This window comes from Homo sapiens, chromosome 8 (assembly GCF_000001405.40).
Source record: "Homo sapiens chromosome 8, GRCh38.p14 Primary Assembly".
NCBI classification, from domain to species: Eukaryota; Metazoa; Chordata; class Mammalia; order Primates; family Hominidae; genus Homo; species Homo sapiens.
In genome coordinates, this window is record NC_000008.11 from 111369621 (window position 1) to 111386399 (window position 16779).

The following is a 16779-nucleotide window of genomic DNA, read 5'->3' on the forward strand; positions in this document are numbered from 1 at the left end:
TAGCTTCAAACTATAGCTAAAGTATGCAGCTTCTTGTAATCTCCTATTCTTTTTTACTTTCCACTGTCTTCTTAGGCTGGTATCCTCTCAGTTACTCCTCTCCTGAAAAAAGTATTTACCAAACAAATCTTATAGCAGATGATAGAGCTCACTCTCGCTGTAGTTTCCTTATCTTTCAGAACTCTCTGGTCTTCAGCTATTTTGTTAGCTATGGACTCTATACTCAACTCTCTGAGTCTTCTTACACAATTGAAGCATGCACCATGTAAAAAAAAAATCATACTCATAGCTGCTTGTTCTTTTTTTTTTTTTTTCCCAGGCTGGAGTGCAGTGGCACAATCTCGGTTCACTGCAACCTCCACCTCCCAGGTTTTCTCCTGTCTCAGCCTCCTGAGTAGCTGGGATTACAGGCACCTGTCCGGCTAATTTTTTGTATTTTTAAGTAGAGATGGCCAGGCTGGTCTCAGACTCCTGATCTCAGGTGATTCACCTGTCTCGGCCTCCCAAAGTGCTAGGATTACAGGTGTGAGCCACCATGCCCGACTGTTCTATCTTTTAAAAGTGGATTTCTTTCTGGCCTCTGCCTCCATTTTTAGCATCATGCCTCACCCCAGCTCCTAAGTCAGACAGTATTTTAGTGGCTCAACATGTGATTTTTGGCAGTCTATTCTTTGAATATGTTTCATTTCTCCTGTTTTATCTCGCTTCCAAAGTTTACCATTTAATTCCAGATGATTTCTCAGATAAGAACTCTGATTTCTGGACACTTTTGATAATAAACAATGAGATTATCACACTGCTGTTTTCCATGGCCATACCTATGGAATTTGATAAGCATCCTTTTACTAGAAACCCATAAATTTTTAATTCCTCCAATTTATTTCTGTTGCAATTTTTGGAATTAACTGTCTGGCTTCTATCTGTATTTGAATACTAACTGTCTTTAAATATTTTTAAATGTTTTCCAGTTTTTTTTATTATATGTATTTATTTGTTTTTGAAACAGTCTCTGTTACCCAGGCTGGAATGCAGTGGTGTGATCTCAGATCACTGCAACCTCTGCCTCCCAGGCTCAAGTGATTCTTCCACTTCAGCCTCCCAAGTAGCTGTAACTACAGGTTCATGTCACCATGCCCAGCTAATTTTTATATTTTTTGTAGAGATGGGGTTCATCGTCTTGCCAGGCTGATCCCCAGCTCTTGGGCTCAAAGAATCCACCTGCCTTGGTTTCCCAAAGTTCTGGGTTTACAGCTGTGAGCCGCTGCTCCCAGCCTGTAATATTTTATTTATAGTCTAAGTTCTTTAGGTATTTATACTGCTCTTGGAGAGATGAGAAATGGCAGATGAATGTATTTATTATGTTGCATATAATCTCTCAAGTGACTTTGTCAGCCATTTTCCATGTAGAAGGCTTTGATATTCTACCTATTTAAAAGTCAACTTAAGTGTTTCTGCTCAAGACATCCAAGAATACGGTTTGGAAAACAAACTCTGTTCTGTGGCCATGGTCACACTCAGCAGTCACAGCAATATTCTTAATGTATAAAGTGGGGTTTTGGACACTAGGTCAAGACAGAGCATTGACATGTAAAGCAGGACACAAAGCATTGCAATTTTCATCCTGGAACTCAAGAGATTCTTATATCTGACAGGACTCTTAATTTGACTAGGGAATAGACATCATCTCTCTAAGAAAGACGTAATATGTAAAAAGATGTAATACGTTCCTAGACAATGACAAAAAAAAAAACAACAGGCAACCTCCTTAGGGACATAAGCATGACTTAAGTTAGCTTATACTCACTGTGTATTAGCAAGGCTGTCACTATTACTCTAATTTACTATCACATAAGGCAACACTGCCATTCGCTTAATTTTTAAGTTATGCCTCCATGAATACATATCCTCTTAAAGTTTTCTGTGACCCAATGCTGTGCTACCGTACTTGGGATAAAACAACTCCATATAATTCCAATCTACTTTTTAAATTTAGGACAAACAACTTTAGTAACAAATAATTTCTCAAGCCATTTTATAGGAATATATATCCCCTCTTAGCCCTCATAGAATTTATAAGTTATAATACTTAGTTGATGTATTTAATATGTAAACTTTCTTTGCTGGTTATTAAAAAAATGTTACTTATATAAAATATTTTACACTAAAATAGATTTAATACCTTTCAGAGGAGAGATTATGTATTAGATATCTTTGATCATCTTCAAGTTATCTTACAAAATATTTCCAAAATAGAAACATTCAGTAATTCTTTTATATTTATTCTGTTTGGAGAGCAAGAGATATGGAAGTCCTATTTATCAGACAACCACTCAAGTACCACTTAAAATCCTTTCAGAATCACTACTTAATCCAGCCAAAGCTATGGCAACCATTGCTTTGCAATTTTAGACCAGCCATTTGGTGATGTTAACTCTCCTGCTGTCAGTCTTAAGTAGTCACCGGGGAGAGCTTTAGTTGTCTGGATGTCACACAAAACTTAATGCTGATCCACTATATTTGTGACATCATGCTAATTAGATTTAGTGAGAAAGAGATGGCAAGATTTCTAAATGCTTTAGTAAAATACATACATGTCAGATGATACTAGATAAACACCACAAAGATTCTGAGACCAACTGTGCAGAGGAGGTCTGATGGAATTTTGTCATTTGAGGCATTCTGAGATAAGGTAAGTGAAGAGATAAGTTGTTGCACTTTGAATTTTCTGCCACTAATAAAAAACAAGAGTACTTAATTTTGGGGAAATTCTGTGAATTCAGTGAATTTTTAACACACTTACATATATATACTACTTCTACCCATTTATTGGTTATTCAGGATACTGATAAAATTTGATTGCAAGTAGGAGTAAAATTTACTCTGCAGTTCAGGCCATTGTTTAAAAGACTTGCCATTTAGGGCATTAATATGGCTTAGAATTGTGTCCCCACCCAAATCTCAACTAGAATTGTAATAATCCCCACTTGTCTTGAGAGGGACCTGGTGGAGGTAACTGTGTCATGGAGGTGGGTATTTCCCATGCTGCTCTAGTGATTGGGAATAAGTCTCATGAGATCTGATGGTTTTATAAATGGGAGTTACTCTGAACAAGTTCTTTTGCCTGCTGCCACGTAAGATGTGACTTTCTCCTCATTTGCCTTCCACCATGATTGTGGGGCCTCCCCAGCCATGTGGAACTGTAAGTCAACTCAACCTCTTTCCTTTATAAATTACCCAGTCTTAGGTATGCGTGTATTAGCAGTGTGAGAACAGAGTAATACAGTAAATTGTTACAGGTGGAGTGAGGTGCCATTGTAAAGACACCTGAAAATGTGGAAGCGACTTTGGAACTGGGTAACAGGCAGAGGTTGGAACAGTTTGGAGGGCTCAGAAGAAGACAGGAAAATGTGGGAAAGTCTGGAACTTCCTAGAGACTTGTTGAATGGCTTTGAACAAAATGCTGATAGTGATATGGACAATGAAATCCAAGCTGAGGTGGTCTCAGATGGAGATGAGAAACTTATTGGGAACTAGAATAAAGGTGACTCTTGCTATATTTTAGCAAAGAGATTGGCAGCATTTTGCCCCTACTCTAGAGATCTGTGGAACTTTGAACTTGAGAGAGATGATTTGGGGTATCTGGTGGAAGAAATTTCTAAGTGGCAAAGCATTCAAGAGGTGACAGAGCATAAAAGTTTGGAAAACTTACAGCCTGATGATTCAGTAGCAAAGAAATACCCATTTTCTAGGGAGAAATTCAAGCTGGCTGCATAAATTTGCATAAGTAGCACGAAGCCAAATGTCAATTGCCAGGACAATAGTGAAAATGTCTCCAGGGCACGTCAGAGGTCTTCACAGAAGCCCCTCCCATCACAGGGGTGGGGCGTCTAGGAGGGAAAACTGGAGTGGTTTCCCAGGGCCTTGCTGCTTTGTGCGTCTCCAGACTTGGTGCCGTGAGTCCCAGAGTGTCTAAAAGGGGCCAATGTGCAGCTCAGGTTGATACTTCAGAGGGTGCAAGCTCCAAGCCTTGGTGGCTTACATTTGCTGATCCTGATGGTGCACACAAGTCAAGAATTGAGGTTTGGGAACCTCTGCCTAGATTTCAGAGGTTATATGGAAATGCCTGGATTTACAGGCAGAAGTCTGCTGCAGGGGCCGAGCCCTCATGGAGAACCTCTGCTAGGGCAGTGTGGAAGGGAACTCTGGGGTCAAAGCCCCCACACAGAGTCCCCACTGGGTCACTTACTACTGGAGCCATGAGAAGAGAGCCACTGTCCTCCAGACCCCAGAATGGTAGATTCACTGACAACTTGTACTGTGTGCCTGGAAAAGCCGCAGACACTCAACTCCATCCTGTGAAAGCAGCTGTGAGGGTGGCTGTATGCTGCAAAGCCACAGAGACAGAGCTGCACGAGGCCGTGAGAGCCCACCTCTTGCATCAGCATGACCTGGATGTGAGACATGGAGTCAAAGGAGATCATTTTGGAGCTTTAAGATTTGACTCCCCTATTGGGCTTCAGACTTGCATAAGGCCTGTAGTCCCTTTGTTTTGGCCAATTTCTCTCATTTGGAATGGGTGTATTTACCCAATGCCCGTACTCTCATTGTATCTGGGAAGTAACTAACTTGCTTTCGGTTTTACAGGCTCATAAGTGGAAGGGATTTGCCTTGTCTCAGATGAGACTTTGGACTTGGACTTGTGGATTAATGCTGGATTATGTTAAGACTTTGGGGGACTGTTGGAGGGCATGATTGTGTCCTGAAACGTGAGGACATGAAATTTGGGAGGGGTCAGGGACAGAATGGTATGGTTTGCCTCTGTGTCCCCACCCAATTTTCACCTTAAATTGTAATCATCTCCACATGTCTCCACACAGGCCAGGTGGAAATAATTAAATAATGGTGGCAGCTTCCCCCATACTGTTCTCGTGATAGTAAGTAAGTCTCATGAGATCTGATGGTTTTATAAATGGGAGTTCCCCTGAACAAGCTGTCTTTCCTGCTGCCATGTAAGATGTGACTTTGCTCCTCATTCACCTTCTGCCATGACTGTGAGGCCTCCCCAGCCATGTGGACCTGTGAGTCAATTAAACCTCTTTTCTTTATAAATTACCCAGCCTCGGGTATGCCTTTATTAGCAGTGTGAGAACAGACTTGTTTAGCAAGAAAATTTAGGTTACTATGTGATAAAGGCTGTCCAATAAAAGATGGGTATTTCACCTATTTACTGAATTATTGATTTGATAACCATGCAGCTTACCATTGAATGATAGATTTGATTCATCTAGGACCAGTTCCAAGCAAATTCAGAAGACACAAATGAATCGGTTGCATTGATGCCTCTCCTCAGCTCACTTTTATTTTTTCTTTCTGAAATGTTCTCCCTAATGAATTGTTGAAAGCTTCAAGTACTGTTATTACATAGTTCAACATAATCTGTTTATGCTAATTGTATATTGACCAAAACCTTCTTAAAATTACCCTCAGTTTGAGGCAGTTTTAGATAGGCTTCATCTGGACTCTAGTCCCTTAGCATCCTTTTTCTTAGAGCATTTACTTTAACATCAACGACAACAAAAACCTTGTAATTGCAAATGATTTATCACTTTATTTACAATGTACATCCTTTCCCAGTCTCTTGCCAGAGTTACAATTCAGGAATGTCTTTGTCAAGGCCCTAGAAGTCATCCCTATGAAACATAGTCATCTTAAAAGGCAGTACCTATTTTCTACAGGAAGGTTAAGAGCCTCATTTCAATAAGTATCAAAAAGCAAATATATACGGCCTAATCACATTGATCAACATCCCCTAACACCTTCTAGTACTTCTTTTCATTAGCTCACTCCAGCATTTGAAAACACTACTATCTTTTGTTCCAGTAAAGTTGAGTTGAATTTCTCTCCCCTGCTGTTAAGTCATAAAGTCTTTCTTGCTGGTTTAACTCTTCTCTTACACATTTTTTCTTTAGTGAGAATGGCTATAGCAGTAAAATGTGACAAAAAGGTGGCAGAAGATAACTCTGGTGACAGGGAAGAGACACAATGTTGTTCATTTTAAATGAAAGAAAAAGTGATCTAAGCGAGTAGTTACACACTGACACCTGTGACAGATAGGGCAATGGAAAATGTCTTGTCTGTTTGATCAAGATCCTGGGGGAAATTAATATTGTAATACTGAGACAAAGAGATATGAAAAAGAAGAATGTAGATGAATGGATTAGAGTAAGCACAATATATACAGTTTAGGTGAATTACATTAATACCCACTAAGAAACCATTCATCACAGAGATGACACTCAAAAACCAAATAGGGTCAATTTGGCCTCTGTGCACCAGTTTGCCTTTTTCCTTGTTCATTCCCATATCAGTAAAATAGGCCCAGGAAGGGAATATCTATTTTGACAGGGACGGAGGCTGTGTACGAGTCCAAGAACTATGGACTTTCTCTCACCAGTGCCAATCTGGCTATTATCCCTGATGAATGCCAAAATTGCCAGCAACAAAATCAGACACTGAGCCCTTTGGGCAAATTCTCCTGGGTCACTGAAAAAGCCAGACTGAACATTTAGTGACATGAGGCCTGAAAAAAACTGAGGCTGAACCAGTAAAATGAGGGATGCAGGCTCTCTAACAGCCTGAACACAGGATGGTTTCTTGCCCAACCTTGAGAGGTAGGAGATTTTGTCTTTCCTTCTCCCAGCTGTTGTGAGTCTTCACGTGTGCACCGAGGGTAGCAGAATTTGTTGCCCTTCCTGAAGAAGCTTAACTTTTTTTTTTGTTATTCAGAGTAGAAAGAACCAGGCAAGATACTGTGCCTTTCCTACAGCAATATCACTCTCCTTCCCACTCCTGCACCAGCAAGAGAAGCTTTTTCTGGACTCTCCCAGCCCTTGACCTTTCTCATGAGAACTCAGTGAGATCTTTGGAGAATAGCCTTCAACTTTGTACAAATTCCTCTGGGCTTCTATACTCACATACTAGATCACATTTGGCCTTTGGCAATTCAGTAAACATTTTAGCAATTTCTTCTTTCCTGCCTGCTGAAGACTGACTTCCTCCTGCTGCCAAAGGTTTGCAGTGCTTATTTAAGGTGCTGACTTCTTTAGCTTTCAGGCTGGTTGATTGTCATATGAACTCAGGTCTCTGCTAGGTTTAGAAAAAGTTATTATTTTATAGATTACCCAGCTGTGTCTAGTTGTCAGGGTGGGAATGATGTACTTTCTGGTTTTCTACATGCTATGCAGGAGATGGAAGTGTTTGCCTTCAGCATTTCCTGCAGTGCAGTTGTCCAGGCATCATAATCTCTCTGCTTTTGTCCATCTGTTAATGTCTTTATTTCACATTTCCTTTTAAAGCATACATTAACTATATATTTAAAGAGTTGGTTGACAGTTCTTTCTTTTCTTTTGGCGCATTAAAGATGTTTCTTTACTGTTACTTGAATTGCTTATTTTCTGATGAGAAGTCTCAGGTCAGACTTTAAGATTGTTCCTTCGTATGCCTTGTATTTTCATATCAATGTTCTAACATTTTTTTCTGTATATCTTTCTTTTATGAATTTGATTATGATGTGATTTTGTGTTACATTCTTTGGATTTATTTTACTTAGTGTTTGTTGAGCTCCTTGCTTCGGTACATTTTCCTTCAAACCAAGAAACTTTTAGGGTATTATTTATTCATCTATATTCTTATGTGCCCCTCCCTTAGGGAACTGTGGTAACATTTATATTAGGTGGCTTGATAAGGTACCACAGATTAGTGACAATCTGTTTATATATACATATTTTTTCCTGTCTCTCTTTGTGATTCAGTTTAGGTAGGTGCTATTGTTGTCACATAGCTTAGCGATTTTTGCCTTCTGCCACCTCTCATGTGATCTAATCTAATTAAGAAAAATTTCACTTAAGACATTTCATTTTTCATTTCTACCTTTTCCATCTGTTTCTTATTCTATTCTTGTTATATTCATGCATTGTTAAAAGTATCGGGCACATTTATATTAGCTATAGCTCCTTAAAGTCATTGCTTGTCAGTCCCATCTTCTGTTATTTGTTAAGTCCTTCTGTCAGTTGTTTTCATTAATTCATATTTTTCTCCTGATTATGAGTAAATTTTTTTCTGTTTCTTTAATTTATAATAATATATGATTAGATGCCAGGCGTTCTTGTTAGATTGTTGCAGTTTAGGTTTGTTTTTCTTCCTTTAATGTAACTATCAAGTTACTAGCAAATCAGATCGACAGTTAAGGAGCTTGTTTATAAATTTTGTTAGGGAAGTCTGCAGTGGCCTTTACTTGGCTTAATTTACCCTTACTGCTAAAGCATGTTTATTCCTAGTTCTCTACTGATTGCTGCAACTGCTCAACAAGCTCTCTTGATTCTGGCTATATGAACTTAATCTTCTTACACTCTATGTGAACTCTGGGAATCAGTCATTATTGGCAGCTGTTTGTTTGCTTGTTTGGGGGGAATGGTGGCATTTATGCATGATCAGAATATTTTACATCAAAGAATCTAGAAGATTTATTGTGGTTTAGCTCTTACTCTATATGTCTCCCTCATGTCAGATATTATGCCTACAATTTCCAGGGACTATTTTACATTTCAAACTCCAGTCTCTATCTCCAAAGCTCTGAGATGGCCATTGTCTACTTAGGCTTCTCCTTTCTGATGCGTGGATTGAAAAATATCCCCAGGCAAAAAACCAGGGCAATGTTAATATGCACCTCCTGTTTTGGGGGGCTTTTTTCACTTTCAGGGATCACAGTCATGTCTGCTTGCTGTGTAATAACTGTTTGGTTTTCTAATTTTTTAATGCATATAGTAACTCTAGTTTCAGTTACTCTGCTACTTTTGTAGTTCAGGTAACTGAGAAAAAGAATGTGTAAGTATTTCCCCAAGGTCAATTTGTCAGAAGGTTTTACAAAGGCAGAAGTGTTTTCTGGTGTGTTCAGGATCTGGCTCTCAGGAAAAGAGGAGCTGAAAATCTAGGGGAGAAATTTTCTTTAAATTGAGTCAGGTGAAATGGCACACAATACTTCTATTTAGTTTTCAGTTGTATGAACTTAGACGTATGATCAAAAGTAACAATTTGTTTAAAGAGATGAAAAATATATTTTACATCTAGATAGCCATAGGTCTAGGTTATTCTCTGTTACTGTGCAAGAAAGAAGGAAACAAATTTAATCAATAATTCCACAATTAATTATGGCATATTCTAAAATTTATTCTATGCATATTAAATTTTACACTAAATAGATGGTATAAATTACTCTTTAATACAAAATATATTGTATATGATTAATTTCAATTAATTTATTGATGGAAATTTCATTTTGAAAAGACATTGGACAGTACATTTTTAAAAATTTTCTAACCCTAAAGAGATTTTATACATTATTATATTTTATCTGTATATTTATGGGCTTGGAATTTATAAAGTTGAAAGTCAGGTCAAGAAACTTGCTTAGATAAATTAAAAAATCATATGGCACCCATTAGTTTATGTAATCACCCATTATCAGTTTAAATTCTATAGTATCTCTAGTGCTGTCTGATGTTTATTTTTTATGCTGGTAATTTTTGCCTCTCTCTTTTTTTTCCTTAATAAGTGAAATTAGAATTTTATCAATTTTGTTAGTCTTTCCAAAGAACTAGCTTTTCATTTTATAGGTTTTCTCTATTATTCATTTTTCCCATTAATTTATTTCCACTCTTTTTTTTCAATATATTTTTGTTTTTCCTTTATCCACTTTGGATTTATTTTGGCTTTTTTTTTTTTCAGGCTTTCTAAGATGTATGCCTATTTCATTGATGTTTATATGTTTCTTCTTTTCCACCAGAAAGATTTAAAGCTATACCTATTCTTCTAATGGCTGGTTAATTTCACAGCATAAAAGTTTGAGTTTTGTTTTCATTTACACTGTTAGACTATTTCCTAATTTCCTCTGTGATTTTTTTCTTTGGTCCATAGTTGACAGCACTGTTCATATCTTCTTTATATTATTTTTCCTCTCTATTTATTTTATAAATTACTGAGTTGGGGTGAAAAATTCTGTGGACTTTTAACTTTGTACTCTAGGTGCATTAAATTTTGTTTTGTGTATTTTGAAATTCTCTTTTTAAGTACACTCTTATTTAAGATTATTGTATCTCCTTGATTAATCAATTATTTTGTTACACATGTCCTCTTAATCTGTGGTAATACTCATAGTTTTGTAGTCTATTTTTCTGACTTTGGCATAGCCACACCAATTTTCATAGTGTTTGCATTTTTTTCTGTTTTTACTTTCCAAGTGTACTTAATAAAAAAAAAAATACATGTATAGTTGGGTGTTGCTTTTATCTGAAAGTCTCTGATTTTTCATAAAAATGCTTATATTTATTTTTATTCTTACAAAGTATTAATTAAATATTTATAAATCATAGTCTTAAGGCTTTTTAATTGAAAACTTTACTTCCATCTTATTTAATGTAACTATATGGATGGATTGAATTAACTGCTTTGCTGTTTATTCTTTCTTCTTTTTTCATCTGGCTCATTTTTTAATTCTTCTTCAATTCCTTTTGAACAGTAAGGCTTAAAATTCATACTGGCTGGCTGCTCATCTCCAGGCTTCCCACAGGGCTGCTTTGGCTCAGTGAAGAGAGGGTCTCATGCATTCCTTTCTACCTGCTGAACAGTCTGTTTCCTTTCACAGCTCCTCTTCAATTTCAGAGTTTCAGACATCTTCTCTCCCTTTACGGTACAAATAAAATAAAATAAAAGCCTTAATATCCTAAAAAGTATAGATGCTTACCCTCGTCCTGTATTTCTTCTCTACCTTCAAGCATAATTCCAATTACCTTTCTAGAAATTATACCTGCTTTGTCTACTAGAGGCAGTCAGCTGAATCATCGAGTTCTTGCAGAAGCCTTGAGCTTTAGCACCTAAGGGCCCTGAGACAGTTGTATTCAACAACCTTGTTGCATGAAAGAAGGGGAGTTCTGAGGGACATGGACATTGCAGACTTTTTCACCAACCAGGAAAACTTTTCAGGCATCACCCAAGAGGTCCAGCTGAAGATGTAACAGGTGGTTCATAAGTCCATGCTGCAACTTGATGAGAAGAGTGTGAGGCAGCTGCCACCACTGGGGATGTCCTAAAGTTGATGTTCAAGCCTCTTATTATCATTTTCAGCTGGCCCTTCATTGTGATGACCTTTGACCATTTCAGATACAGCAGCCTTTTCCTGGGCAAGGTCATTAATCTAACCTAAGGGTATGCCCACCCAGGAGCCAAGGCACCATGTGACTTTGGGCATCAGAAACAACACAAAAATGTCTTGGGGAATGGGAGATTTCTCCAATGTTTTACAGTTTTTCCTGAAATCCAATGAGAAGTGTCTCTAGCTTTAAGCATCTTGTAATAAATAAATGCTATTAGTGGGGGGAAAATAATACAAGGTGAAGTTTTTATTCTTTATCTTGTTATTGTGGAAGACATGAAGGACTTCCTCCTTCCTCTACATTCTAACTAGAAATGGGAACACATTTTATGTTCAAGTCTGCAAAATCTATTTGGCTTAGATTTTATTCCTTCTCTATGGATCTGATAACATCCTTTTTACATTAAAAAATAGTCTCATCTTCCTGTGTGTGTGTGTGTGTGTGTGTGTGTGCGTGTGTGTGTGAGAGAGAGAGGGAGAGAGAGTTTCTTTTTATTTATTTTTTAAATAGCTTTGGAGTACCAATGGGGTTTTTGGTTACATGGATGAATTGTACACTGGTGAGGTCTAGGATTTTAGTGCGCCTGTCACCTGAGTAGTACACATTGCATCCAATAGGCAGTTATTTGTCCCTCATCCCCCTCCTACCCTGCCCCCTTCTGAGTCTCCAAACTCTGTTATACCACTCTGTATTCCTTTATGTACCTGTAGCTTAGCTCCTACTTGTAAATAAGAAAATAGAGTATTTGGTTTTCAATTGCTGAGTTGCTTCTCTTACAATAATGGCCTCTAGTTCCATCTAAGCTGCTGCAAAAGACATTATTTTGTTCTTTTTATGGCTGAGTAGTATTTCAAGGCATATATACATATATATATATATATATATATATATATATATATATATATATCTCCTAAGGATTATTATCTCAAGAGCCTACAACCTTAGGGGAGTTCTGGGGGACATGGACATATACAAAAATATATATGTAAATATATATTTTATATATTTATAGATTTATATTATAAATAAATATATATAATGTGTTTTTATATGTAAAAAATTTTCTTTATACACTTATTGGATGATGGACACTTAGATTAATTCCATATCTTTCCAATTTTGAATTGTGCTGTGATAAACATGTGTACAGATGCATTTTTGATATAGTGACTTTTCCTTTGGGTAGATACTCAGTAGTGGTATTACTGAATTGAATGGTAGATCTAATTTCAGTTCTTTGAGAAATCTACATACTGTTTTCAATAGAGGTTTTACTAATTTACATCCCTACCTGCAGTGTACAGGCATTCCTGTTTTATCACATACACACCAATATCTACTGTTTTCTAAATTTTTAAGAATAGCCATTCTGGGTAGGGTAAGGTGGTATTTCATTGTAGCTTTAGTTTGCATTTCTATGATGATTAGTGATGTTGGACATTTTTTCACATATTTGTTGGACATTCATACATATTATTTTGAGAAATATCTATTCATGTACTTTGCCCACTCTTCGATGGGATTATTTTTTTTCCTGATGATTTATTTGAATTCCTTGTAGATTCTGAATATTAGTTCTTTGTCAGATGCGTAGCTTGTGAATATTCCTATTCTGAGGGTTTTCTGTTTATTCTGACGATTATTCCTTTGGCTGTGCAGAAGCTTTTTAGTTTAATTAATTCCGATTTAATTACTATTGTTTTTATTGCACTTGCTGTTGGGGTCTTAAACATAAATTATTTGCCCAAGCCATTATCCAGAAGAGATTTTCCCAGGTTATCTTCTAGAATTTTTATGGCTTCAGGCCTTAGATTTAAGTCCTTGATTTATCTTGAGTTCATTTTTGCATAAGGTGGAAGAGAGGGATCCAGTTCCATTCTTCTATATGTGGCTATCCAATTTTCCCAACATTATTTATTAAATATGATGTCTTTTCCCCAATTTGTTTTTGGATGCTTTGTCAAAGATCAGTTGGTTGTAAATATTTGGTTTTATTTCTGGGTTCTCCATTCTGTTCCATTGGTCTATGTATTTACTTTGATACCAGTATCATGCTGTTTTGGTTACTATAGGCTTGTAGTATAATTTGAAGTCAGGTAATGTGATGTCTCCAGATTTGTTCTTTGTTCTTAGGATCATTTTGAGTATTTGGGCTCTTCTTTGGTTCCATATTAATTTTAGGATTGTTTTTTCTAATTCTGTGAAAAATGATGTTGGTATTTTGATAGGAATTGCATTGAATCTATAGATTGCTTTGGGCAGTATAGGCATTTTTACAATACTGATTCTTCCAATCTTTGAGCATGAAATATATTTCTATTTGTTTATGTCATCTATTATTTCTTTCAGTAGTGCTCTGTAGTTCTCCTTGTAGAGATCTTTCACCTCTTTGGTTAAGTATATTTCAATTGTTTTTGTAGCGATTTTAAAGGGACTGAGTTCTGGATTTGATTCTCAGTTTGGTCAATGCTGCTGTATAGCAGTGCTACTGATTTTTGTACATTGATTTTTTAGCTTTACTTAATTCATTTATCAGATACAAGAGTGCTTTGGATGAATCTTTAGAGTTTTCTAGGTATAAGATCATATCATTGGCAAACAGAGATAGTTTGATTTCCTCTTTTCCAATTGGGATGCACTTTATTTCTTTCTCTTGCCTGATTGTTCTAGCCAGGACTTCCAGTACTACTTTGAATAGAAATGGTTAAAATGGGCATCCCTAATTCTTAGAAAAAATGTTTCAACTTTTCCCCATCCAGGATGATGTTGGCTGTAGATCTGTCATATATGGCTTTTATTACTTTCATATATGTTCCTTCTATGGCCAGTTTGTTGAGATTTTATATCTTAAAGTATGCTGGATTTTTATCCCATGCTTTTTCTGGATCTACTGAGATGACAATACGGTTTTTGCTTTTAATTCTGTTTTTGTGATGAATAACATTATTGACTTGTATATGCATATGTTGAACCATTCCTATATCACTGGAATGAAAACAATTCCATATTGATGTACTGTTGAATTCAGTTTGCTATTACTTTGTTGAGAATTTTTGCATTTATATTCATCAGATATATTGGTCTGTAGTTTTTTGTTGTTATGTCCTTTGTTGGCTTTGGTATCAGGGTGATACTGGCATCATAGAATGAGTTAAGAAGGATTTTTGAAATCTTCTCAATCTTTTGGAATAGTTTTAGTGGAATTTATACCAATTCTTCTTTGAATGTCTGGAAGAAATCAACTGAATTTATCTGTTCCTGGGATTTTTGGTGTTGTTGGATTTCTTTATTATTACTGACTCAATCTCACTGCTTGTTATTGGTCTGTTTGGAATTTCTATTTCTTTCTGATTTAAGCGGATGGTTGGGGGAAATGTATGTTTTCAGAAATTTATGAATTTCTTCCAGTCTTTGTAGTTTGTGTGCATAGAGGTGTTCATAGCAATCTGGAATGATATTTTTTATTTCTGTGATGTCATCTGTAATCTTCCTTTCTAACTGAGCTTATTTTAATTTTCTCTCTTTTTTTTTTAAATCTAGCTAGTGGTCTATCAATATTGTTTATCTTTTCAAATAATCAGTGGTATATTCATTGATCTTTTTTACTTTTTTGTTTCAATTTCATTTAGTTTTGCAATGATTTTTGTATTTCTTCTCTTCTGATAGTTGGCGGTTTGGTTTGTCCTTGTTTCTCTAGTTCCTTGTGGTGTGATATAATGTTAGGATGTGAATTTCTGATCATTCAGATTTTTCTGATGTAGACATTTAGCACTATAAACTTTCCTCTTAGCATTGTGCTGTATTCCACAGATTTTGATAAATTGCATCACTGTTGTCATTCATTTCAAAATTTTCAATTTTCATCTTGATTTCATTGTTAATCCTGAAATCATTCAGGAGCAGATTAGCAGATTGTTCAATTTCCATGTATTTGAATAGTTTTGAGAGTAATTTTTATTTATTTCTAGTTTTGTTTTGCTGTGGCCTGAGAAGATATTTAATATGATTCTATTTTCTTAAATTTGTTGATACTTTATTTTGTGGCTTCTCATATGGTGTATCTTAGAGAATGTTCCATGTGCTAATGCAGTTTTTGGGTACAGTGCTCTGCAAATATCTGTTCGGTCCATTTGTTCTAGAGTACAGGTTAAATTCAGTATTTCTTTCTTTCTTTCTTTCTTTCTTTCTTTCTTTCTTTCTTTCTTTCTTTCTTTCTTTCTTTCTTTCTTTCTTTTTTTTTTTGGAGACAGAGTTTCGCTCTTGTTGCCCAGGCTGGAGCGCAATAGTGCAATCTCGGCTCACCACAACCTCTGCCTCGCGGGTTCAAGCAGTTCTCCTGCCTCAGCCTCCTAAGTAGCTGGGATTTCAGACGTGTGAGGAGTGTGCCACCATGCCTGGCTAATTTTGTATTTTTAGTACAGACAGGGTTTCTCCATGTTGGTCAGGCTTGTCTTGAACTTCTGACCTCGGGTGACCCGCCCGCCTCAGCCTCCCAAAGTGTTTCGATTACAGGCATGAGCCACCATGCCCGGCAGTATTTCTTCATTGACTTTCTGCCTCTATAATCATTCTAGTGCTGTCAGTGGAGTGCTGAAATCCCCCACTCTTAACTGTGTTGCTATCTCTTTTCCTAGGCATAGTAGTAATTACTTTATGAATCTGGAACTTCAGAGTTAAGTGCATATATATTTATAATTATTACATCCTTTTGTTGAATTGATCCTTTTATCATTATGTAATGGCCTTCTTTGTCTTTTCTTTTTTTTTTTTAAAGTCTGTTTTATCCAATATAAGACCAGCTACTCCTGCTCACTTTCAGTTTCCATTTGTGTGAAATATCTTTTTTCACCCCTTTACCTTGAGTCTATAGGAATCCTTACATATTAGGTTTGTCTTATGAAGACAGCAGCTATTTATTTTGAGAATTTTTAAATTCATTCTGCCAATCTGTATATTTAAGGTGGATAATTTAGACCATTTACATTCAATGTTAATATTGAGATGTGAGATACTGTTCCAGTCATCATGTCTATTGTGACCTAGTGACTTTGTTTTCTTCATTGTGTTGTTGTTTTATAAGTGTTGTGATTTTATGCTTTCAGGAGTTTCTATTCTGGTGTGTATTAACCTTATGTTTCAAGATTTAGAACACCTTTTATTATTTCTTGTAGGATTGCTCTAGTATTAACAATTTTACTCCACATTTGCTTGTCTGACACTTTATTTCTCCTTCATTTATGAAACTTAGTTTTGCTGGATACAGACTTCTTGGAGGATAGTTACTCCATTTAAGGAGACAAAAGATAAGGCCTCAAGCCCTTCTGGATTGTAAAGTTTCTACTGAGAGGTCTCCTGTTAGTCTGATAGTTTTTCCTTTATAGGTTATCTGATTTTTTTTTTCTCACTGTTTCTAGAATTCTTTTCTTACCATTGACTTTAGATAGCCTTATGACTATAAGCCTTGGTGATATTCCTTTTGCAATGAGTCCCCCGGGAGTTCTTTGAGCTTCCTGTATTTGGATATCTAAATCTGTAGCAAGGCAAGGTACGTTTTCCTTAATTAGTCTCTCAA

The 16779-nt window shown here is 36.3% G+C and overlaps 1 long non-coding RNA gene and 1 pseudogene across 1 annotated transcript in view; both read left to right on the forward strand.

Annotated features, from left to right (window-relative positions):
* The first annotated feature begins 7018 nt into the window (after positions 1 to 7018).
* Positions 7019 to 16779, forward strand: part of LINC02237 (long intergenic non-protein coding RNA 2237) — a 93979-nt gene continuing 84218 nt past the window's right edge. Inside the window, exon 1 of the long non-coding RNA NR_146282.1 lies at positions 7019 to 7070. This is a non-coding gene — a long non-coding RNA (long intergenic non-protein coding RNA 2237). The remainder of the gene's footprint in view (positions 7071 to 16779) is intronic.
* SERPINA15P (serpin family A member 15, pseudogene) lies at positions 10983 to 11175 on the forward strand (annotated as a pseudogene).